General features: G+C 37.7%; 1 protein-coding gene across 11 annotated transcripts in view; it reads left to right on the top strand.

The window, feature by feature from the left end:
• CUL2 (cullin 2) overlaps positions 1-26619 on the top strand; it is a 118456-nt gene that overhangs the window by 76240 nt on the left and 15597 nt on the right. For 10 of the 11 annotated variants that reach the window (XM_011519745.2, XM_047425852.1, XM_011519743.1 and 7 more), the window contains 12 exons: positions 1002-1084; positions 5899-5995; positions 6091-6201; positions 11685-11847; positions 15471-15595; positions 17494-17601; positions 18273-18332; positions 19148-19276; positions 19381-19467; positions 21127-21279; positions 21880-21957; positions 25569-25635. In XM_011519745.2, the coding sequence (XP_011518047.1) occupies positions 1002-1084; positions 5899-5995; positions 6091-6201; positions 11685-11847; positions 15471-15595; positions 17494-17601; positions 18273-18332; positions 19148-19276; positions 19381-19467; positions 21127-21279; positions 21880-21957; positions 25569-25635 (1261 nt within the window). The remainder of the gene's footprint in view (positions 1-1001; positions 1085-5898; positions 5996-6090; positions 6202-11684; positions 11848-15470; positions 15596-17493; positions 17602-18272; positions 18333-19147; positions 19277-19380; positions 19468-21126; positions 21280-21879; positions 21958-25568; positions 25636-26619) is intronic. The other variant, NM_001324375.2, reaches the window with a different exon arrangement.

Raw genomic sequence — 26619 nt, 5'->3', positions numbered from 1 at the left:
CAGAAAATAGGAATCACAGACACATCAGCAGTCATCAGCAGTAGAGTGGAAAAATAAATCATGGCATATTTATGCAACAGGATGCTGTATAGCAGTGCCAATGATTGAGCTATGGCTGTATGTTTCCACTGGATGGGTTTCACAAAATTGTGGATTGTAATAACCTGAGGGGAAAGGAGGAGGATATCTGGGACAATGGTAATGATGAAGTTGTATTTCTTAAACTGGGTAGTGAATACAGGAATGTTTTATTACTCTTTTAACCGACTTGCTCTTTTTATGTTGGTATAAAATTTTTCATAATTAAAAAAATCAGTCTACAGCCAAATCACATTATTTCATTTAACATAAATCCTTTGTTTCTGTTACGGTCTAGGTATCTATAGCCCATTTATAGTGTTGAGCATTTTAACAATCAAAAAATTAAGTTTTTTTTTTTTTTTTGAGACGGAGTCTCGCACTGTTGTCACCAGGCTGGAGTGCAGTGGCACGATCTGGGCTCACTGCAACCTCCACCTCCCAGGTTCAAGCAATTCTCCTGCCTCAGCCTCCCGAGTAGCTGGGATTACAGGCGCATGCCACCACACCAGGCTCATTTTTGTATTTTTAGTAGAGACAGGGTTTTGCCATGTTAGCCAGGATGGTCTTGATCTCCTGACCTCGTGATGTGCCCACCTTGGCCTCCCAAAGTGCTGGGATTACAGACGTTACCCACTGTACCTGGCCTAAATTAAGGTTTTATAATAATCAATTATTTCTTAAGATTTTCAACTAATAATAAAACCTTAATGTTGATAAGGCTAGTAGAGTGGTCACTGATATTTCAAATTAGAAATTTGTTTTCTTTGAGTTTTTAAATTTTTGTTCAGGTTTTATTTGAATTTTGAAGTATTAGTATAAATACTTCTTTTGATGAGTATTTTTAGTTAAAAAAAACCTTGAGGAAATGTTAAACATATACTAAGTAATTCAGCCCTGATGATTTTCGTTTTTCCCGGCAGCTAGCATTGGATATGTGGAGGAAATTGATGGTTGAACCACTTCAGGCCATCCTTATCCGAATGCTGCTCCGAGAAATCAAAAAGTGAGTGCTGACATTTATCTTACTGAGTCAATTTTATTTTGTTGTTTGATATGGTTTTAAAATAGTGTACAATTGCAGAGCCAGTGACTAGCCTTGGGGCTGGTTTTACTGTAATGAGCCTCATTTTACTTCCAATGCCAGCATTTTTTAAGTTGTTTTATTTTCTTCTTCTTCTTCTTCTTTCTTTTTTTTTCTTTTTGGTGGGGGGAGCTCTGGTCTTTTCTTATACCCTAATATGCTTAGTATATAAATAAGTATCTGAGGGAAGTGACTTATTGCTTTTCAGAGCTGAAAACTCTTAGACTTTCTAGGCAGTGCCCTGAGTTGCTTGTACATATTACCTGTTTAAATCCTCGTGAGGACCACCTATTGAGGAAGACATTCTTCTAGTTAGTTGGCTACCTCTTAGCCTCAGTGTTATAATCAATAACTTGCCTAATTCTGTGAGATAAATTTATGGGAAAATGGTTTCCCACTCTACCCATGGCTCAGAGTGGTTAACACTTTTTACCCTAGTGCTGTGTGAATACAATTTAGTACAAAGAACATTTTCCTGTGGAGTCTAGAATAGAACATCCTTGGATTAGCTCTGGCTCAAAGACTCTCAGAAGCACTCTGTCAGTCACACAAATATATATCCAGTAAATTCCAGGTTACTGGAACTGATGTTATAGGAATTATCTAGACCAGTGAATTGTAGTGTAATAATGGCCACTCCACCTATATCTGTGCTCATCAAGAAGACCTAAATAAGGAGTTTTTTTTATATGAGGAATACTTTGTCAAAGCCGTGGTATTTAGTATGGGACTCCTGGGAGGAAGTAAGGGATTAAACACACACACCCACCCCTATGCCTCACATAAGAAGATAAGAGAATATTTTTAAATTTTTGATACCCAATAGAAAGTAGGTGGTAACAACTAGTAACTTGATTTTTAAAAATTGTCACTGACCGTTTGAGTGATTCCATTGTTTTTAGAGATAGAGAGCTGGAGAGGAAAGGCAATACTGAAGCAGTAGGGTGTAACCCGTTGTTTTTCTTCCTCTTTTCTTTACAAAACTGTGAACTAAAAGAACACTCCCAACAAAACTTCTAAGTTCTAATATAATTTCTCCTGCTAAAATATACTAACTTTTCTTTTGACTTGGAATTCAAGTATTTAAAAGTATAATGACAATACTGTTATACTTTCTAAATGTACTTTTGTGAAATATCTTTTTTAATATAATTTTGTCCCAACCTAGTAAATTTTTAGTGTGATTGTTAGTTTGCTAAAAATCAATATGATAAAAAATGAAGGAAACAATGTAAGAAAAATAATACAACTAAAGCATATTAGTTCTGGAAAAGATAGATTATCTGGTCTGCTTGTCTTATTTTTGTTGTTATAATCGGCTTCCATTAAAGCATTGTTTCACATGCTTTACTAAGATCTCACTTATTCTTCATGACAGCTCTCTTAGAGTTTTGCATGTTAAAGTTAAGGAAACTAAGGCATATTAATAATAGAAATTAAACATGGGAACTACATACCAAGCATTGTGCTAAAAATTTTACATCCATCTTCCCATTTAATCCTCACAACACTGGAAGGCTAATACTATTAGTGTCACCATTTTACATGCATGACATCCTTGACATGCAAAAGTCAATGGTGGTGATCTGACTCAGATCATTTGACTCCAGCCTCCATCTAATAATAATTCTAGGGATTCACATCTGGGCTAATCTAACTCTGAATTCATTATGCCTGTCCTTTTTTCCTTTTTTTTTTTGAGACAGGATTCCCACTCTGTCTACTAGGCTGGAGTGCGGTGACATGATTTCAGCTCACTGCAGCCTCCGCCTCCTGGGTTCAAGCAATTCTCCTGCCTCAGCCTCCCGAGTAGCTGGGCACCACCACGCCCTGCTAATTTTTGTATTTTTAGTAGAGACCGGTTTTCACCATGTTGGCCAGGTTGGTCTCGAGCTCCTACCTCAAGAGATCCAACTTTCTCGGCCTCCAAAAGTGTGGGGATTACAGGAGTGAGCCACCGCACCCGGCCTTTATGCCTGTATTTTTTTTTTTTTTTTGAGACAGTCTTGCTCTGTTGCCCAGGTTGGAGTGCAATTGCACGATCTTAGCTCATTGCAACTTCTGCCTGCTGGGTTCAAGCGATTCTTCTGCCTCAGCCTCCCGAGTAGCTGGGACTACAGACGCGCACCACCACACCCGGCTATTTTTTTTTTTTTTTAGTGGAGACGGGGTTTCACCGTTTTAGCCAGGATGGTCTCTATCTCCTGACCTCGTGATCCACCCGCCTCGGCCTTCCAAAGTGCTGGGATTACAGGCGTGAGCCACTGCGCCTGGCCCAGAAATCTTTAACCAAATTATTTTTTATTGTAATCTAATGTGTTCACTCACAGAATTGAGGAACTATCATAGAGAATTAAGCAAATATGGAGGTTGAGGTAGGGTTTCTGATGTGAGCCACATCTTTCTTTTACAGTGAATAGAATTCCTGATATTTAAAATTGTTTTCTAGGTGGGAATGTCAGTTAAAGGAAATGAAGAAATTAGTAATTTAGTCAGCATATTATAGAGCTGCTTGTTAGAGCCATCTATCATTTTGTTCTTCTTTATTACCTGGAAAATTTTATCAAGATATGCTTCTTCTCACCTACTGTTTAGTTACCCAATGGTAGAGTTCATATAGGAAAAGCAAAATAACTGTTTGTTTCTTTCCTTTTTAATAACCCAGTTTTTTGTTTTTGTTTTGTTTTGTTTTGTTTTGTTTTGTTTTGTTTTGAGACAGAGTCTCACTCTGTTGCCCAGGCTAGAATGCCGTGGCACGATCTTGGCTCACTGTAACCTCCTCCTCCCAGGTTCAAGCCAATTTTCCTACCTCAGCCTCCTGAGCAGCTGGGATTATAGACATGCGCCACCATGCCCAGCTAATTTTTGTATTTTTAGTAGAGACTGGATTTCACCATGTTGGCCAGGCTGCTCTCTAACTCCCGACCTCAGATGATCTGCCCACCTCAGCCTCCTAAAGTGCTGGGATTACCAGTGTGAGCCACTGCGCCTGGCCAATAACCCAGTTTTTAAGATAATGAGTTGGTTTGCTGTCATCCTTAGGTGACCAGTTAGCTTTTTAAACTTTACCAGGATGAACTCAGACTTAAACTAGAGAGGCCTACCTCACTTTATTAAACTCTTCTCCTAGTGGCGTATATTAGGTTCCTTCCAGTTTTTCCACTAACACCACTCTTGTTTCTGTTGTACACATATGTAGATGTTTGCTTGGGGTCATAGGGTGTGTATACTTAGAGTTTTGCCAGTATGTCCTCCACAGTATCTGTTCTTCCACCATAAGCAGAACATGAGAAAATAGGTAACAGTTCAGATCAGTATCTCACCAGATTGAATGTGGGCTTATGTGAGGTCACGCATGTGACCCAAGCCAAGGAAATGAGCTCACATGTGTGACCTTATTATATGAACTAGTCAGTGATATCAAGATATCAAGATTCTCTATGACTGACAGAATTACTGTAGCCATATTAATTCATGTCCAAAAAATAGTTCTCAGAATATCCAAATAATTAAAGGAAGAATCAAAGAGGACTAGAGGGGTTCAGAGGCAGGGAAGGACTCTAGTATGTAAAGGTAATTGCCTGGATGCTTTTCCTTGATGCTTTTCTTCAATGATAGAAAATTCTTACATCCTATATATAGAGCAACAAGCTCTTACTAGGGAATGATGATAATAAGTTTTCTGTTGCTCTCTTTGTGACATTATTAATGCAAAGAAGAAATTATTTTAAAGTAGGTTGGAAGAGTGTGTAGTGAGGTAAACCATAATGGTTTGATTTGAGCATTGGTACTAGAGTCACAAAATCCCAATTTAGAGCTAGATTATTTTACTGTGGCTTTAAGCAAACTTTTTTTCTATTTTATTTTTATTTTTATTTTTTAATTTTTGAGACAGGGTCTTGCTCTGTCACCCAGGCTGGAGTGCAGTGGTGCAATCGTGGCTCACTGTAGCCTCGACTCCTCCTGGGCTCAAACGATCCTCCCACCTCAGCCTCCAGAGTAGCTGGGACCACAAGCATGTGCCACCATGCACAGCTAAGTTGTTTTTTTTTTTTTTTTGTATGGGGTCTTGCTATGTTGCCCAGGCTAGTCTCAAACTCAGGACTCAAGGGATCATCCCACCTCAGCCTCCAGAGTAGCTGGGACCACAGGTGTGTGCCACCATGCATGGCTAATTTTTTTTTTGAATGAGGTCTCGCTCTATTGCCCAGGCAGCTCACAAATTCAGCACTCAGGGATCCTCCCACCTTGGCCTCCCAAAGTGTTGGGATTACAGGCACGAGCCACGGTGCCTGGTTCTATTTCATATTCCTTTTATTAGAAAAGCTAACATTTCACCTACATGTCTTAATATGATTAAGACTTTGTAGTTTGTAGTGAGTGAAAATCAAGCATTCTTAACCGCCAGTATTAAAGTTTTGAATTGATGGGCTCGTATCTACTTTGTTAAAATTAAAGAAGTGTTATCTTATTACTGACATAGTATCTTGAACTTTACAATCAGTTTTCTTTTTATTTCTTGAAATGACATCTAATGTATACATTAACTATCATGAATATTAACTCAGCTGTGATATAAAAAAAATCATTGTTAAGATTCATGCATGTACCTTTTTATAGTTCTTTACACTTTGATTAGACCAATAGAATAAGGAGCCATATTTTGGCATATTTTGGGTATATTTCCATAGATAATTTGTATTCTCAAGAATATTTTGTGTTATACCTTGTTTTAGTGATCGTGGTGGAGAAGACCCAAACCAGAAAGTAATCCATGGGGTTATTAACTCCTTTGTTCATGTTGAACAGTATAAGAAAAAATTCCCCTTAAAGGTAAACAGCCTCCTTTAAAAACAAATAATCAGACTGTTAATTTCTTAAACTGCTTGTTCTAATTTCTTCTAATATGATGTAATTGATTTATTCAGTTTTATCAGGAAATTTTTGAGTCTCCCTTTCTGACTGAAACAGGAGAGTATTACAAACAAGAAGCTTCAAATTTATTACAAGAATCAAACTGCTCACAGTATATGGAAAAGGTAAGAAATAAAACATATCGAATACATTTATCTATTTTGTATCTGGCCTGGTTTTATTTAACATCGTTCTTAGTTTTCTTGTTTTGTTTCTTGGTGGAAAAATATTCTGTTTATTTAATCTATTTAATCATTAACTCTGAGTTACAGTTATTATATAATATCGATTGATAAGTCATTGCTCTTTACAATACCCTTCCAGTTTTCATCATAATTGATGCTTTTTGATAAATCCTGACTGCTTGGTTTACTTGTCCTTGAAATTAATATATATGCACATTCTTGGCAGAATAATCAGTTTATACTGGATTTCATGCTTAGTGGTTAGTTTAGAGAATAGGATAAGTGCAGAAGCTCTGTGTTGAGGTTTTTTTCTTCCTTTAAAATGAGAGGAAAAATATGAGGAAAATATAGTAATTCTAGACATTTGGATGAGTCACTCTTTTGGTCTGTTAAGTTCTTGAAAGGCTGAGAGACAACCCCACGTGAGGTGTTTTTTTTTTTTTTTTTTTTTTTTGGAGATGTGGTCTTGCTCTGGTGCCCAGACTAGAGTGCAGTGGCTTGATCATGGCTCCCAGGCTCAAGTGGTCCTCCTGTCTCAGCCTACGAAGTAGCTGGGACTACAGGCACACACCACCACGCCCAGCAACTTTTAAAATTTGTTATAGAGATGGGGTCTTGCTGTGTTGCCCAGGCTGGTCTCAGAACTCCTCAACTTGAGCAGTCCTCCTGCCTCAGCCTCCCAAAGCGCTGGGATTTTAGATGTGAGCCATTGCACCCAGCCAAGAAATTTTAATTGATCACTAAACCAGTACATATTGGTTATCATATGTTAAATCCCATGTTTATTTTCTCAGTAGTAGAAGAAAAAAGTGTTCATACAAATTAAACCACCATATGTAAGATATATTAGAACTTCTAGCCAGGTTTTTAAATCTGCAGTGTTGGATTTCAAGCATTTTATTTTGGGATGGTTTGTGTTAGTTTATGTAGCCAAGAAAGGTCGAGTAGTTTAAGTGGGTGAGCTGTCATCCTACATCCCTAGGCCACAAGTCACAAAGCATCCGTGCTTACCGATACACTGTTGTGTCATCCACAAAGCCCAGATCTAGAGGTCTTAGTTGTTTGATTATCTTCCTGCTTTTCTTACTAGTTAGCTCTGTCCCCTGAGCAAATTATCTGGAACTTTTCCCCCATCAATTAAGTTCAGGTTACACTAGATCAGTGGTTCTAAGCTCTTAGCCCTTATTGCACCTTAGACTTTTGTTGAAGCCTCTAGATCCAGCCCCAAGAATCACACACAGATTATCTGTGATACATGCACTTTGCTCTGTCTGGCTGTCAAAAATATGCCACTGGCAAGTGGTGGCAGTAGCCCAGATGTCTGTTAGAAGTTGAAAGAATAAGCAAAATGTGATACATATGTGCATTGGAATATTATTCATCGTGTGTAGTGAAAAACTCTCTCAAACCATGTTTTTCCTCTACTCTCACACCACAGCAACAATCATCAGCACAGAAGGCTTCTGTAAACAAAGGTGTGGCTCTCTTCTCCCACACACCAAGCAGCAGACACCAGCTAGGTGTCCTCCAGTTCAACTCTAACACCATCTACTTGAGATAGTGGCTAATCCCACAGTTTGGGGACTGAGTCTCCAAGACTGCCCTGCACACCCCCAGACACCAGTCACAAGTCTGGGCCTCCGGACTACTGACCGACTGGCTTTCAAGTTGAAGTCCTACAGTACACTGTTTGGGTTCCATTAATTTGCTAGAGCAGCTCACAGAACTTAGGGAAACACTCACTTAATGTTTACTAGTTCATTAAGAAGGATATTTTAGAGGATACAAATAAACAACCACTTGAGGAGACACATAAGGGAAGGTCTGAAATCACCATGAGTGCAGGAGCTTCTATCCCTGTGGAACCCAGTCTTCTTGGATTTTTGTGGAAGCTTCATGATGTCAGTAGTCTTTCCCCCAGCGTACAGGGTGGGGCTTTCTCTGGGGAGGGTCTTATGACCCACAGTCAGAAAGGTAGGGCAAGATTAGAGTCCTGCCTTGAGGCAGGTGAAAGGAGAGTAGGAGAGAAATTCTGTTTCCTGAGACCTAACACACTCAACATTATAACTAAAGACTGTAACTAGGGCTAAGGGAGTTATGAACCAGGAACCACAGATGAAAACCAATGTACTTACATATCACAACACCACACAGTCTTTAAAAAGAATTGAAGTTATACATGATACAACATGGATGAACCATGAAAATGTTATGCTAAGTGGAAAAAGACAGACACAAAAGGGCAAATATTCTGTGGTTCAATTTATAGGAAATATCTAGAACAGACAAATTCAAAAGGACAGAAGATAGATTAGAGGTTATCAGGGGAGGAGGATGTGAGGAGTTGTTACTTAATGGTTATAAAGTTTCTGATGGGGTAATGAAAAATATTTGGAAGTAGACAATGGGGGTGATTACACAACATAGTGAGCGTTATTTAATGCCACTGAATTGCCCACATAAAAATGGCTAATGTAAATTTTATTATCTATGTTTTTACCACAATTTAAAAACATTGATAATGTAATATACCAAAACCATTGAATTGCACACTTTAAATGGGTGAATTATTTAATATGTAAATTACATCTCAAGGTGTTAAAAGGGAAGGAGGGACATTGGAATAAATTATGTTTGGAAAAGAATGTTTATTAGAAAAGCTTATTTCAGGCTGGGCACGGTGGCTCAGACCTGTAATTGCAGCACTTTGGGAGGCTGAGGCGGGCAGATTACGCAAGTCCAGGAGTTCAGGACAAGCCTGGGCAACGTGGCAAAACCCCATCTCTACAAAAAATTAAAAAACTAGCCACACATGGTGGTGTAGTCGTCTGGTCATAGCTCTTGGGACGCTGAGGTGGGAAGATCACTTGAGCCTGAGAGGCGGAAGTTGCAGTGAGCCGAGATTGCACCACTGCCCTCCTGCCTGGGCCAGAGAGCGAGATCCTGTCTGACAAAAGAAAGAAAAAGAAAAGCTCATTTCAGGAAATAATGTTGGACCATATTAGCTTCAAGGGCAAAACCCTGGGCTTTGCTCTCCATTTAGTTAATTGGGGAATGAGTCAGTACAGCCTTCCTGCCTCCTTGCTGCGTTCCTCTTATAGCTTTGGCCTTTCTTTCCCCCAGGGGTTTTACAGCTGTTTGAAGCCCTGCACTGGGGCAGTCCAACCTTCTCTACATTTCTCTTGATATGCGCCTCTCTCTCCCAAGTTATCATTGTTTTATTTTTTCCTTCTTCCATCCTCCTTCACCTCTCTCAGACCCACTGTAATTCCTGTTGCATTAACTTGGCAAGCAGATTAAAGTCACTATAGTATGCTCTGAATGACTAATAGACTTAATCCTTTTTGTTATAAAAATAGCCCTTAAAGGATTTATTGTTAATCAAAGTGCCTTTCTTAGCTGATGTAATATGTGGTGAACACTTTTGTCCTCTAGACCAGGGGTCCCTGACCCTCAGGCTGAGGACCAGTACTGACCTGTGGCCTGTTAGGAACTGGGGAGGACCAGTACTGACCTGTGGCCTGTTAGGAGGAACCGGGCTGCACAGCAGGGAGTGAGCAGCCACTGTGTGAGCATTACCTACTGCCTGAGCTCCGCCTCCTGTCACATCAGCAGCAGCATTAGATTCTCATAGATTCTCACAGAGCGCAAACTCCATTGTGAACTCTGCATGCAAGGGGTCTAGGATGTGCGCTCTTTAGAAGAATCTAATGCCTGAGGATCTGAGGTGGAATACTTCACCTGGAAGCCACCTGCCCCCACCAATGCCGCCCGCACTCCGTCTGTGGAAAAATTGTCTTCCACAAAAGCAGAGCCTGGTGCCTAAAAGGTTAGGGACTGCTGCTCTAGACCCCTTCTTGCCCGACCTGAGTCTGTGACTTTGCCCTGAACTCCTGGCTTCAAAGGGTCGCACAATAGGAAAGACAGGACTGTGGGAACCTACTGTCTGGAGCCTCATTTTTATTGAAAATTTCTGATCCGCTTTCCAGGAATGATTTTCACTCCTTGTGCCCAGGCCAACTCAGCAGCACTCTCCAAAGTGCCAGGTGTATGTAGTTCCCCGGGAACACTTAATTTCAGAAACTCTAATTACACAGCTTTATGTTCCAGAGTGTTTCCAAGCCGGTGCATTTGTCTGTGTATATGTTGTTGTTTTGTCTTGAGACAGAAATTAGTCAAATTCTTTGGTTATTTTCCTTATGGGCTAGTTCTTGTTGATATTAACCAGTGTTATTTGTAGCTCAGCGCTTTATGTAGGATAAACTTTAATAAAAGTCTTGATTGACATACTTGACTATGACTAAATTATATTTACTTTCAAATTTTTTATTTTTTATTTATATTTATTTTTTGAGACAGAGCCTCGCTCTTATTGCCTAGGCTAGAGTGCAGTGGCGTGATGTCGGCTCACTGCAACCTCCTCCTCCTGGGTTCAAGCAGTTCTTCTGCCTCAGCCTCCCGAGTAGCTGGTGCTACAGGCACCTGCCACCACACCTGGCTAATTTTTTGTATTTTTGTAGAGACGGGGTTTCACCATGTTGGCCAGGCTGGTCTCAAACTCCTGACCTCATGTGATCCACCCACCTCGGCCTCCCAAAGTGCTGGGATTGCAGGCATGAGCCACCTTGCCTGGCCTTATTTTTATTTTTTTGAGACAGTGTCTCACTCTGTCACACAGGCTGGAGTGCAGTGGTGCGATCTTGGCTCGTTACAACCCCCACCTCCCGGGATGAAGTGATTCTCTTGCCCTGGCCTCCCAAGGAGCTGGGATTACAGGCATGCCCGGCTAATTTTTATATTTTTAGTAGAGACAGGGTTTCGCCATATTGGCCATGCTGGTCTCAAACTCCTGACCTCAGATGATCCACCTGCCTTGGCCTCCCAAAGTACTGGGATTACAGGTGTGAGCCACCATGTCCAGCCCCTACTTTCAAAAATTTTAATTAAATCTTTAATATGGTAGTTAACTATCATGCACATACAGTTCCATTTACAAGAAGAGAAACCAACGTAAAATAATTAGATTCATCTACTTGATTTCAATATAATTTATTTTTTAGTTTGATAGTTATTCATAACAGAGATCACCTGTTCTGAATTTAATCATCTGTACCCACTTTTCCTGTTACATGTTATGTTGTCCATGTAATAGGATGAATGGTGTAGGTAAATGAAGACAAAATGCAGACTATTTAACTTTAGTTCTTGCTTATAAGACTGGTGGAATGTAGATGACAGCTAGTAGCTTAAATAAAAATTTGAAATGATTTATAGAATGTGGGTTTAAATTGCTTATGTAACCCTTATTACCTTTGCCATGTTTAATTCAGCCATTAAAATTTGGCTGAGTTACTTGCTGATATTACAGATTTTTCCTCATAGTAAAACTTTGTGTTCATGACTGTAAGAAAATATTTTTATAGGTTCTAGGTAGATTAAAAGATGAAGAAATTCGATGTCGAAAATACCTACATCCAAGTTCATATACTAAGGTGATTCATGAATGTCAACAACGAATGGTAGCAGACCACTTACAGTTTTTACATGCAGAATGTCATAATATAATTCGACAAGAGAAAAAAAATGGTAAGTGACACCAAACATGAGTAGAAATTAAATTATAAATCCACCTTTTATATCATCCTCTAGTCACCCTTGATTTAATGCCTATTTTAGTAATAGTCTTTAAAATATTTTAAATAACCTTTTACAGATTATTAATACTTTATTTTGAAAGACTATTTTAGGAAAGTGTTTTCAGAGTGTTCTAAAATCAGAAGAAAAAGTGGGAAATTGTGTTTATACATTTTTATATATTACAAGAGCTAATTTCCTTAATGCATTTAGAATTCCTGATAAACAGTAGGAATAAAGGCAAAGACTATAAAAAGGAAATACAAATATTATGTAATAAATGTAATAATTTATATAATATAAAAAATCAGCTATATCTGATTTTTTTTTTTTTTTTTTTTTTTTTGAGACAGAGTCTCACTCTGTCGCCCAGGCTGGAGTGCAGCGGCGTGCTCTTGGCTCGCTGCAACCTCCGCCTCCCAGATTCAAGTGATTCTCCTGCCTCAGACTCCTGAGTAGCTGGGATTACAGGCGCTCATCACCACACCTGGCTAATTTTTTTGTACTTTTAGTAGAGACAGGGTTTCACCATGTTGGTCAGGCTGGTCTCGGACTCCTGACCTTGTGGTCCGCCCGCCTCAGCCTCCCAAAGTGCTGGGATTACAGGCGTGAGCCACTGCGCCCGGCCTCTCTGATTTTTAAAAAAACAAAAAACATGCATTACTTTTATAGGCAGGAAAGATAATAAATATGTATATTTTATTTAATTAATTAATTTTTTTGAGATGGAGTCTCGCTCCGTCGCCCAGGCTGGAGTGCAATGGCATGATCTTGGCTCATTGCAACCCCTGCCTCCCAGGTTCAAGCAATTCTGCCTCAGCCTCCCAAGTAGCTGGGATTGCAGGTGTGTGCCATCACATCCAGCTAATTTTTGTATTTTTAGTAGAGACGGGGTGTCACCATGTTGGCCTCCTGGTCTTGAGCTCCTGACCTCAGATAATCTGCTTGCCCCGGCCTCCCGAAGTGCTGGGATTACAGGTGTGAGTCACCGCGCCCGGCCATTAATCAGGCTTTTTGTTTTTGTTTTTTGAGACGGAGTCCCGCTCTGTGGCCCAGGCTATAATGCAGTGGCGCGATCTCTGTTCACTATAACCTCTGCCTCCTGGGTTCAAGCGATTCTCCTGCCTCAGCCTCCTGAGTAGCTGGGACTACAGGCATCCGCCCCCACACCTGGCTAATTTTTGTATTTTTAGTAGAGACGAGGTTTCACTATGTTGGCCGGCTGGTCTCGAACTCCTGAGCTCGTGATCCACCTGCCTTGGCCTCCCAAAGTGCTGGGATTATAGACACGAGCCACCACCCTTGGCCCCGTGTTTTTTACAGCAACATTAATTTCATAGATCCAGGGCAATGTAGTCAAAACCCAATAATTTCATTTTAATTCCGAAAGTCACTGTCTTGAAGAGTATGATGGAAAGACTTTAATGACCAGCAAGACTTATTGTAAAACCTATAGTAATTAAGACAGTGAGGCATTGGTACAAGGACAGACAGATATCCTAATAAAATAAGAGATCCTAGAAACAACCCAAGCATATGTGGCCACTTGATGTAAGACCAAGGTGGCGCTGCAGAGCGGCAGGTAAAAGATGGTCTTTTCAACACGCATTGCTCAGTCAATTGGATATCCATTTCAGAAGAAAATGAAATTTGATCACTACCTCAAGATACCATATACAAAATCAATTCACTATTGAGTTTTTTCTCTAAATGTACAAGGTAAAAAAATAACACTTCTAGAAGATAATATAGAAGAATATCTTCATAACCTTGAGACAGGGAAAGATATTTTAAATAGGACACAAAAAGCCCTAACCACAAAGGAACGATTGATCCAGTGAACTACATTAAAATGAAAAACTTTGGATTATTAAAAGGCCATTAAGAGGGAGGAAGATTGCTTGAGCTCAGGAGTACAAGACCAGCCTGGGCAACATGACAGTATCCCATCTCTGCAAAAAAATACAAGCATTAGCCAGGCGGGGTGGTGTGCACCTGTGGTCCCATCTACTTGGGAGGCTGAGGTGGGAGGATCACTTGAATCTGGGAGGTGGTGGTTGCAGTGAGCCGAGATCCTGCCACTGCACTCCAGCCTGGGTGACAGAGTAAGACCCTGTCTCAAAAAAAGCCATTAAAACCACTGGATCATCAGAAGACAGTTATAGGGTAATGTACCTGCAATACTAAAGATTTATATCCAAAATATAAAATGCTCAAAAAACAGGCACTGCAGAATAGAAGATACCCAGATGGCCAATAAACATAGAAAGAAGTGTGAAGTAGCAGGAACTTGTTGAACACTGAAGTGAGAGTATAAATTGATGCAACTACTTTGGGAAACTGGCACTGACCGCTAAGTGGGATATATTATGCATATTTTATGATCCAGCAGTTCTCCTAAACATATAACCACCCCCCAGCTTTACCTCCCCACTGCCAATGCCTGGACATATATACAAAAAGACATACAGGAATGTTCATAGTAGTGTTTGTAATAGCTCCATAAACTGGAACAGCTCAAATGTCCAGTTACTGTAGAATAGTACAGTATATTCATACAATGGAATATTATAGAGGAGTGGAAATGAACAAATTAAAGCCATGCACAACAACATAGATGATCCTTATACACATGTTGAACACAAGAAGCCAGACACGAAAGAATTGTGTGATCCCATTTTTATACGTAGTTCAAACTCATCTGTGATTTAGAAGTCACAGCAGTGGTTACCTTTGCAGAGGAGCAAGAGTGTGTGATTGGAAGGAGGCATGAAGGGGACTCCTGGGTGTAGGTAATGCCTGTTTCTTATCCTGCGTGTGATTACATGGGTGTGTTGTGTGTTCACTTGTGATAATTCAGTAAGATATACACTTATGGTTTGTATACTTTTCTGTATATGTATGATGCTTTAATGAAACGTTTAAAATTAAACCTACTACACTGAGAGATCATTATTCACCTCCCAGTGTTAGAGATCAAAACATTTGGCAACACATTGTTGGCAAAGGAACTCTCTGCTGTTGGCAGCTGTGGTTAGAAGGATCTGTCTACAAGATTAAACTTTGACACAGTAACCTCACTTTTGGGAACTTATATTGCATATATTCTTGCTCATGTATAAGATTATTGATTGCAACATTGCAATATCAAGAGACTGGAAACCACCTAAATTTCCATCAGTTGTTAAGAAATTATATCCACATAATGGAGTACTGTGCAGCTGTAAAATACATAGAAATGCTTTGTGTACTGATAGGAAAAGACCACTAAGTTAAAATGTGTTCTGAAGCTACAAATAATATACAAAATACAGTACACTGTATTAAAAGGGGCAAAGGGAAGAATATATGTATTCACTTGAATTTGCACAAAATATCTTTGGGAAGATGTTAAATAACCACATCCCTTTCCTGTGGGGAGAGGGGCTTGGGTGGCTGGGAGGTGGGCATGGGGGACTTTTCTCTGGGTGCTCTGCACTTGGATCCGTATATTGTACTCCTGCACTTGGATCCATATATTACCTAATAAATGAAAATATTTGGGAGTTAACCCTCAGATGTCTTTTTCCTCTCAGACATGGCAAATATGTACGTCTTACTCCGTGCTGTGTCCACTGGTTTACCTCATATGATTCAGGAGCTGCAAAACCACATCCATGATGAGGGCCTTCGAGCAACCAGCAACCTTACTCAGGAAAACGTGAGTTGTGTGGGAAACTGCAATGTTTTCCTCCTAATCAGATCCAGCGTGGAGCCTTTCCTTTGACTTTATTGTTTTGAAAGATGAAAGAAAAAGTCTTACCATGCCAACGAAAGAAATGTCTTTATTCAAATGTTTTAAACCTAGAATTTGTTGGACTCATTTTGGAATTATCAGATTATTAGAAAGCTATTGATAGGCTGCTGCTTAGCCATACGGAGGGTGTCCATTGAACAGTTGTTAACTTTCCACAGGAAAATAAGCTCGCCATTTTTAAATAACTGTGTTTTTGTGTAATTGGCATTGATAACGTAGTTTGTTGTCATGGTAGTAGTATTAATCAGTGGTAATATAGACGACTTGCAATTTGCCTCCTTTCCATATCCTCTGAATTTGGTTGTCCAGGAAGCAAATTTAGATTAAAATAATCTTCTGTAAGTATATGCTTGCTGCCCCAAATACCCAAAACAATAACCCTCATATCCCTAATACTCATCTTTCTCGAATACTTTGCCAATCACATGACTGTAACAGTTTGTACTGTAACAGTTTGTCTTTCCCATCACCAAATCTTGTTATTACTGGTAATGTTTGATGAGCAAGAGAGAAATAACTTCAAATGTTACTGTCTCTTCTTAAGTAGAGCTGTTTGCCCTTCATCTATAAGATAGTATCTGTGTATAGACGTCACTGTTCAGGAGCACTTTTTAGAGGCTGTTACCTTAGCTGCAGATTGGTTTTTGGCAAGTAATAATTTTTAGTTTTTATGTTATGCCACAATAATGTGTAAGTTTTCTATTTTTTTATTTCTTCAAATTCCCTTTACCACAGTTTTCTATTTTTTGTAGAACTATTAGTTTATAGTATTCAGGTTTATTACTCTATTATTTGTCAAACTTACTAGTTTACATTATTACGTTTATAGATTCCATGTCCAATGACATTGGGCATAGAAGCATCGAATTTTGTGTCAAGGCTGGGAGATGGAAACATAAGTGAATACATTTGTGGTAGACTCAAATCCAACTGACTTAGTTAAGTCTTAGGTAGTAACTTCTTCATGGTTATCTCCATTAAGAGGGAAAACTCACTTTTGTACTATTAGGTATTTCTTCTCTCTGAGATGTGAGGGATTGTCTTGCCGAGTTCAAGGGGTCTCTGTTCTCAGGATTATTGGCTTTTTAACTCTCCTTTCTCTCAGCCTTTAGTGACTTTGCAGGCAGTCTTTGCTTATTTAAGCCTCTATGAAAGTGATAGACCTGGTAGTTCAGGTCTTGTTATCCTTAAGATAAGTTATTCCAACACAGTAGAAAAGTATGCTTTTGGTGGGTTCTTCTGACAGGTACTAGACAGTCTATGACAGCTTGTTGTGTTGAATGACAAGCTATTTTCTTTCTTCCTTTTTTTTTTTTTTTGTTGTTGTTGTTGTTTTTCTGAGACGGAGTCTCACTCTGTCGCCCAAGCTGGAGTGCAGTGGTGCGATCTCTGCTCACTGCAACCTCCACCTCCCTGGTTCCAGCAGTTCCCCTGCCTCAGCCTCCCGTGTAGCTGGGATTACAGGTGGACGCCACCACGTCTGGCTAATTTTTTTGTATTTTTAGTAGAGACGGGGTTTCACCGTGTTGGCCAGGATGGTCTCGATCTCCTGACCTCATGATCCGCCCGCCTCAGCCTCCCAGAAGTGCTGGGATTACAGGTGTGAGCCACTGTGCCCAGCCTTCAACACCAAAGTTGTAAATTTCTAAGACCGTCTTAGCTAAAACCATTTTCTGAGAAGTGTGCATGTGTGAAACATAATTTCCTTGAGGAAAAATTTACTAATAAGTCTAATAAACCTCATAGTTTGGATATCCTTGAACCTCTTAAAATGTGGTTTTGTACTTATATTTCATTTTTAGATGCCAACACTATTTGTGGAGTCAGTTTTGGAAGTGCATGGTAAATTTGTTCAGCTTATCAACACTGTTTTGAATGGTGATCAGCATTTTATGAGTGCGTTGGATAAGGTAAGTTTTAAATACATATATACTATATATGTACATAAAACTCTATCATTCTTTAGGCAGTTTCAAGATCAGAATTCTAGTATGAGGTTTCTGATGTAGACATGGAGATTAAGTAATTTTGATATGAAATTCAAAATAGAAATAATATAATTTTTAAATTATTAACTGAATAGTTAAATTGAATGCTTGTAGAATGTCCCGTGATTATGCTATATAAGGGGAATTTTTAATCTGATATGTTCTGGATAGACATGCATAATTTTGCAATTTTTAGTACTGATTTTTTTTCTTTGGCCATAATACTTAGGCTATATTGAATAATATTTGAAAAGAGAATAGATATGTTTTACATGAACTTTTGCATACGTTAAAGGAAAGCTGCTTACAAGATTGTAAGTTTTTTTTTAAGTAACGTTATTTTATCTGTTCAAATTTCGATAATGAGTTACAGAATATCTTGGAATAGCAACAGGATATATAGATATTTTGTAATTAGAGAATAAAGTCAGAGGAGTCTACCATGTTAGGCATGAAAATATTAACAAACTACCGGCAATGCTGTGTTTTATGTGGCGGGGTAATTTTTGGATGTACAGATTATGGCTTATATTGAACTAGCTGTACTTTTTCCCTATGGCTGGTGGTTAATTATGGCGTGTTTTTTTATTCAGGCCCTTACGTCAGTTGTAAATTACAGAGAACCTAAGTCTGTTTGCAAAGCACCTGAACTGGTAAGTTTGGTGGTTGCTGAAAAGTAATCTTATGAAAAGTCAGTATTAGAAAATGAGAACTCAGAATATCAAATTAATTTGGTTTTTGTAGCATTTTTCAGAAAAATAGAAGGAAAATTATCTACATTGTATATAGTTTGGCATTTATGTAAGGAATGCAATATACTATGTGTCTTAAAGAATAACCATTTTACAAAGTTTGGGTTTTAATGTATATCTACTTTGAAATAATTTGCAATACTTTTCATGTAGATTCTGTTACATCTGAAATCTAAAGGAAATCTGATGATAAAGTTTGGGTAACCTTTGAAGGAAACTTGCTTACAAGATTTTTGTAACTTTTTTTTAAAGTACTTGTTCAATGTCAAAAATTATAAAACCACTCGAAACTCACCTAGGTGTTCTTTTAAAAATTTGTATTACTTATATCAGTTGCTTTATTGGTCAATAAGTGATGATTTGATATTTGACTTGTTCTTTTTAAAAATTTACCTTATGATGTATATTTTATTTAGTTTACATTTATGATTATTACATAAAGCTTTAGAAGCCTGGTGTGGTTGTGCATGCCTGTAGTCCCAACTACTTGGGAGGCTGAGGCAGGAGGATCCTTTGAGCCTAGGAGTTTGAGGCTGCAGTGAGCTATGATCTTGTCCACTGCAATCCAGCCTGGCAACAGAGCAAGACCCGGTCTCTAAAAAAAACAGCAAAAATTCTGTCCGCTGATCTTACCTTGTATCACCACTTTGCCTCCTTTGAGGCGTGATATATACAGAAGCACCCTTTGTAAGATTTATTATCAATTTCTACATGAGCTTGCTAAGTACTGTGACAACTTACTGAAGAAGTCAGCGAAAGGGATGACAGAGAATGAAGTGGAAGACAGGCTCACGAGCTTCATCACAGTGTTCAAATACATTGATGACAAGGACGTCTTTCAAAAGGTATGTTGTGAACAGAAAAGTTTCATTTGTATTTTGGTCAACTTTATTTCTGAATGCTAAATCATTAGAAAGGAAGTAATCTTTTAAAATATTTTTAAATGTAGTTCTACGCAAGAATGCTGGCAAAACGTTTAATTCATGGGTTATCCATGTCTATGGACTCTGAAGAAGCCATGATCAACAAATTAAAGGTAATGTAAGTCTTTAATGTGGTATTGTCCTAGAAATTCATTCACAAGCACATAAAGATGTTCATTGCAGCATTGTGTACAGTAACAGGAAACAATTCATCTGGTTAAATGTGTATTTGTGTAGTCACACAGTGGGATATACAAATACTGTATTAAAAGGACAAAATGTATATGTTTATATATGAAGATTCACAAGATAATCAGTATTAATGATAAAAGATTATTACTACTTATAAATGAATACACCTAAAATATTCCTTTAAGTACAGATTTTGGAGTGCAATTCCATTTCAATTTATTTTTACATCATTTCAGCTTGCTTACATACCGATAAGTGGTAGCAGGTTCATATTTATCCTGTGTTATTCAATAAATTTTCTTGCATAGTAGACATTTTGAATATAATATGCATTCCTTTTTTCCTTTTTCTTTTTTTAAGAGATAGGGTCTCACTATGTTGCCCAGGCTGGACTCTAACTCCTGGGCTCAAGCGATCCTCCCGCCTCAGCCTCCTGAGCAGCTGGGACAATAGGTGTGCACCACTGCACCCAGTTGCTGTGTGCTCTTTTTTAAACCTCCAAAAAGAAACTTAATTTTTAATTTCTAAAAGTAGTGTTGGCCAGGTGTGGTGGTTCATGCCTATAATAGTAGCACTTTGGGAGGCCAAGGCATGTAGATTGTTTGAGCTCAGTAGTTCAAGACCAGCCTGGGAAACATGGCAAAACCCTGTCTCTACCAAAAATACAAAAGTTAGCTGGGCTTGGTGGCGTGTTCCTCTAGTCCCAGTTACTCAGGTGGCTGAGGTGGGAGGATTGCTGGAGCCTGGGACATCAAGGCTGCTGTGAGCCATGATCATACCACTGCACTCCATCCTGAGTGACAGAGCAAGATCCTGCCTCTAAATAGATTAATTACAAAAAAAAAGTAGTGTTAATGAGCTTTTTATATTTCAAGATTAGAGATTCAGATTTTCTGACCTGGTAACAACAGAATTTTGAATAATTTTAAAGAAATAGTTTTCTTCAGCACTCAGTAGATGCTATTAAAAATATGCCTAAATAGAACTTTTTCAATTGACTACAGGCTGGAGTATTCCCAGTAATCATTTATGTAATCTTTCATTTGATACTATCTGTAAACCTTATAAGAGCCAGCAGCTGTGGCATGTGCCAATAGTCCCAGCTACTGGGAGAGTGAGATAGGAGGATCACTTGAGCCCAGGTGTTCGAAGTTGTAGTGCACCATGATGGCTCCAATGAATAGCCACTGCGTTGCAGCATGGGCAACAGTGAGACCCCAAGTCTTTAAAACAAAACACAACATAAAATCCTTTTAAGGTATCTTATGTATAGTAACGGGGCATTTTGCAGTGCTGAAATAAGAGATGAATGTATAAAAAAGTTTTTGTTTAAGGGGAGATTTATTGTTCCTAGATAGGTGGTTTTTATTCACTTATTTAAAATACGTCTTTAAAAAGAAAGTTTGAAAGGTTTTGATTAGTTGCTTTGACTTATGAAGAATATATTACTAGTCCTTGGGTATAAGTGTATATGCAAGAACCTTTGATCAAAGACCTAGCAATACCGACACATTATTATTAACCAATATGACTTATTATTTTTCTTTTGAATTCATGTATTTTCTAAAACTTTTTTATAGCAAGCCTGTGGTTATGAGTTTACCAGCAAGCTACATCGGATGTATACAGATATGAGTGTCAGCGCTGATCTCAACAATAAGTTCAACAATTTTATCAAAAACCAAGACACAGTAATAGATTTGGGAATTAGTTTTCAAATATATGTTCTACAGGTATGAATATGTGTTTTACTATGAGCATTTACTAATCATTTCAGTACGTTGATACAAATGATTCATAAATGGATGCCTGATTACGTTTGGTTCTGTGAGTAGATTGTGGCTTCTAAAGTCCTATTGATTTGGGCTGGGCGTGGTGGCTTATGCCTGTAATCCCAGCACTTTCAGAGGCCAAAGCAGGCAGATCTCTTGAGCTCAGGAGTTCCAGACCAGCCTGGCCAACATGTGAAAACCCGTCTCTACTAAAAATGCAAAAATTAGCCAGGTGTGGTGGTGCGTGCCTGTAATCCCAGTTACTGGGGAGGCAGAGGCAGGAGAATTGCTTGAACCCCAGAGGCGGAGGTTGCAGTGAGCGGAGATCGTGCCACTGCATTGAAGCCTGGGTGATGGAGTGAGACTCCATCTCAAAAAAAAAAAACAAAAAAAGGTCCTATTGGTTTGGAATGAAATGTGCCATGATAGAAATACTCAGATTTCATCAACATTTTGAGGAAGAAAAAAATGTTTTAGATGCTTAGATTATTTAATAAATATTTACTTTGAATTTAGATGTTGATCCATTTAGCTTATTTTATTTTATTTTTTTCCTTCTAGGCTGGTGCGTGGCCTCTTACTCAGGCTCCTTCATCTACGTTTGCAATTCCCCAGGAATTAGAAAAAAGTGTACAGATGGTAAGTTTGCAGGAAATATATTAGAAGACTAAAGGAATTTTAATAATTGTCTTCATATTATATCACCTTTAATATTTTTTCAGAGTCTTAAGGGTTCATGTGATAAAAATAGATTCAGAAATTATAGTCAGTCTGCCCTTTAGGAAGAATGTAAGTTATTGTAGTTACTAATATTGATACTAAAATGCTAAGAAGAATGTCATACAGTTCTTTGTCAAAGCATGTCTCTTATTCTGAGTAAGTCTATCATCTGCTATTAAGCAGTTTTAAATTATAAAAATGTTGATATCAGAAGAAAGCTTAGAATTCAACACCTAAAATATCACTTACCAGTTTTCCTTTTGAATTTTGACCAAATACCTCATTCAGCCCTTGTAATATTTTTATTTCTGTCCTGTAATGTAGGTAAATATATGTGAAGTAACTGCTAGTAGAGTAAGTAGTAACAGTGATTGATAGTGGTTATTAGTTTCGTGGTAATAACTAATAGAGGAGAGTCCTGTAACCAGTCAGGTAGGTTTCAGGAAGGCAAGCATGATAGACTTTCAGAATAGGAGGCTAAATTAGGACTTCTTACATCTTCTTTGAAAAGAGATTGTAGCACAGACTATTTTAGAAACTATGTGAAGAAGAGCATTTGTGCAGACATTCATTGGATGGGGCAGACTATAATCCAAGGTTATTACAAATTTTGCAGAAAGGATACATCCCAAAGTGCTGGGATTTCAGGCATGAGCCACCATGCCTGGCCTTGGCAGTCTTTTACATTTCTTTTTAAATATCATGTGTCCCTGATTGAAATTAAGGGAGAGAATAGGAGCTGGCAGAAATGAAGTTTTCCTTTAGTTTTTTCTTTCCTCTTTCCTTGAAATAATTATTTTCTATTTATAGTTTTTAACTCTTTAAACTTTATTTGTTGATGTATAGTCTTCCTCAGGTTTTAGTTTCCCCATTTACAAATAGGAAGTGAGTTTCTGTCTGTAAAATTCTGATTCCAAAAATACTATTCTCTCCATTTGAATTGTCTCCAATTACCAGTAGAGGGAGTTTGTCCTTTATTTTTTTTCTAGTAAGTCCAAGTTTTCAGATACATAGGATTGAAATCCATTTGTATACTTAATAGTGTACAGTTTTCTCATGTAAATTAATCCATCCTGCCTTAGTGATGATTTGCATTTTTTACATCTTAATCTTAAATATAACTATCAAGAATTACCTTTATTTTACACCAAAGTATCTCAAAACTGTGGAATTAAAGCTGTAATTAAAAGTAATTTATTTTATACTTTAGGCCAGTCAATCTTAATTGTTACATTTCTTTTTTACCTAGGCCAAAAACCTGAATAATATTAGAAGTATCTAAAGTTGCCGGGCGCGGTGGCTCACGCCTGTAATCCCAGCACCTTGGGAGGCCGAGGCGGGCGGATCATGAGGTCAGGAGATTGAGACCATCCTGGCTAACACAGTGAAACCCCGTCTCTACTAAAAATAGAAAAAATTAGCCGGGCATGGTGGCATGCACCTGTAGTCCCAGCTACTCTGGAGGCTGAGGCAAGAGAATCGGTTGAACCCAGGAGGTGGAGGTTGCAGTGAGCCGAGTTTGCGCCACTGCACTTTAGCCTGGGTGATAGAGCGAGACTCCGCCTCAAAAAAAAAAAAAAAAAAAGTATCTAAAGTAGTGTATATTAATGTAGCTATCTATTAAAGGTAAATAAACTCATTGAATTTTTAAGGCTCTTTGAGATCTAATTAATGCCCTTAAACAGTGTTTGAAAAATGCTGTTTTTTATCCTGTTTATTTTAAAATAAGTTTAGTCTGGGAGGAGGGGGGAGGGATAGCATTAGGAGATATACCTAATGCTAAATGACGAGTTAGTGGGTGCAGCACACCAGCATGGCACATGTATGCATATGTAACTAACCTGCACATTGTGCACATGTACCCTAAAACTTAAAGTATAATAATAATAAAATTTAAAAAAATAAAATAAGTTTAGTCAACATATATTTTTTACTAATAAGCTTTGCTAACACAATTATTTTAATGATATAATCAAGGAAGGTTTTATAACTTTGGTCTTTGTAGTGCCATATGAATTGATGAATTTATTGGAGTCTGTTTGTTCTTGACTAGCTATAGATACGAGAGTCTTTGTAGTCAGATTTTAAATGTAAGGATGAATCAGTATCTTCTTTTGGCATATTGATATTATCGTCAATAAAACTTTACCAAATAGTACTACTGAAGAGGTAAAACATGTTTTTAGAGCTTGGAATATACCTTTTAAAGCCAGCTTTGCACTTTAAATTATGAGCATTTTAAAGCTGGAATTTCTCATTTCCGAAAGTGTTTTGAGAAAAAAATGAAAGTTTTTTTAACTTTTATTTTGCTTTTGTCCAGATTCATTGTAAATGTGTTATAAATTGTGAATTATATAGTAGTGATTGAATTTTATTGATATCCCTGGGAGTTATTAGTTAGTCAGATCATACTTCTGAAATCCTCTTATGACATATTTCAATTTGCTGTTTGTCTGGATTAGAACTAAGCAGGCAATCTGAAGTATTCCAGGTGCTAGTCATCTCCTGTTCATCCTGCAAAGGGATTGGTGGATCTGCTGGTAGAGGAGGATGCTGCACCATTAGAGGGAAAATAGGCTCAACATATTTCAGCTTCCCAGGACTAGGCAAACTTAGAGTAACTGCTGAAGGAATTGACTCATTTTCTTGGCTGGAGCTATTAACTTTTGCTGTTAAGGAGTGGTCATAATATAGCTGATAGGTCAGTCATTGCTGACTGCTTTATGTGAACTTCCTTTTTAAAGTACAAAAGGTAAAGTTTGATATACAAATAAAAGCTTTAAGTATGTTATATATGGTACATCATGCTAAAAGTTTATTCAGAATTCTGAACTGGCATAATGCAGTTTATTTTTTAGTTTTATAAAGAAATTGAGTTTTTATCTTTTTCACATCCAGTATCATTTTTCCACTTTTTATTGTATACTAGCTCTTTATTAAAGAAAAAAGAACTCTGTATTTTTGTTCTGTAATTACACATTCAGTCCAGGGAGGAATGTTTAAAATTTGAAGGCTACATTAATAGAATTTAAATTTAATTGTTCACAATAATATCAGCAAAAGAATAATCCAGAGATATACCCTAAAACTTCGTATTTGTGTCTAATTGAATGTGGAAGCTATATGTTGGCAAATGGGAGATTAGAGATGAAGGTAGGGTTTCTCTTTTCATGGTGAAATATATATGTTGCTGTGTTTGGTTAGTAGAATTTATAAAGTCCATGTTAGTATTATTCAGAAATGATAATGAATCACTGTGTCATACAGAAAGTCAAATTTGCAGTGCTGTGGTTTAGTGGAGAGAACTCTAGAACAAGTTGTCAATTAAAAGAGCTGGAATATATGTGTATAGCCTTGATTAGGGACCACAGGAACGTGCTTTCTCCTCTGTAAAAGAAGGAGGTAAACCAGATGGGCTTTAATGTCTCTTCTAATATGAATGGTTTTCATTGCTTTTGTAGTATTGTGTTAATTAACTAGGCAAGTTATAGTAGCTAAAAATAATGTGTGTTTTTTTTTTTTTTTTACAGTTTGAATTATTTTATAGCCAACATTTCAGTGGAAGGAAACTTACATGGTTACATTATCTGTGTACAGGTAAAATGCATTTAATTATATCTGGCTTAATGAAATTTACCTGATGATTATATTAATTTAGAAAGAGGTTTTCTATGGCCCAATTACAGTTTTTAACCTTTTCTCCTCCATCAACCTTTCCCCATTAAAGCAACTAACAATGAAATCCAAGTATAGCACTTTTTCATAGTATTTTATAATTACACTGTTTATAATCTTGCTGCTTTTAAAGAAATGTTCTGACTTTATACTGATTTATTACATTTCTCTAGCCAACCACTTCATTAGCAAATGTATTTAGAAACTCACATTTGATGGGGCAGACACACTTAGAAACTTGTTCTCTAAGTATGCCAGATCCTCTTGCCAGTTTCTTTATTATAGCATCATAAGGAGACCTAACCATTTGATTTTTACTTGTGATACTGCAGTGAATGCAATAGTAAAGCTTTTTGCAGAAAGTCCTACTTAATTTTCAATAGTTTCCAATTTTAAAAAACTTTTATCACAATCTAATTTCCTTTGCTTCTTTCTGGAACAATGGAGTCCACTTACTTACAGTAGGATTAATACCTGAATTATTGTGGACTGTGTGTGGAGTTGCCTGAAGATGTAAGCCAAAGCAGACACTTGAATTTTCTCTTTTTTTGCTAAACTATGCTTTGACAAGTTCATTGAATCACTTTTTCTTTGTACAAGAAGGAAAGGGTATATATGCTAATATTTCTTAGAGATGGTACAAGAAAATCATTTGCCATAACCTTTATTAGGAAATGTTTTCTATCCCCTCCCCAAGAGTTACTTTATCCAAGTAACTATGATACTTGGTGTTTATTTGACTAATTTACATCTTGGGAACGTGATGGCTCATTGTATTAGTAATACATTTTGCATTACTTATATAAGTCGATCTTTACTGAGCAAGTTGGACATTCTAATTTTTAAAATAATTTTTGAAATGAGATTTTTTACTGATACTCTTAGTGGTAGTCAAAGGTCAAATTT

The sequence above is a fragment of the Homo sapiens genome, chromosome 10 (genome assembly GCF_000001405.40).
Source record: "Homo sapiens chromosome 10, GRCh38.p14 Primary Assembly".
NCBI classification, from domain to species: domain Eukaryota; kingdom Metazoa; phylum Chordata; class Mammalia; order Primates; family Hominidae; genus Homo; species Homo sapiens.
Note: the sequence above shows the minus strand (reverse complement) of the source record. Positions and strands in the feature narration are given on the sequence as shown.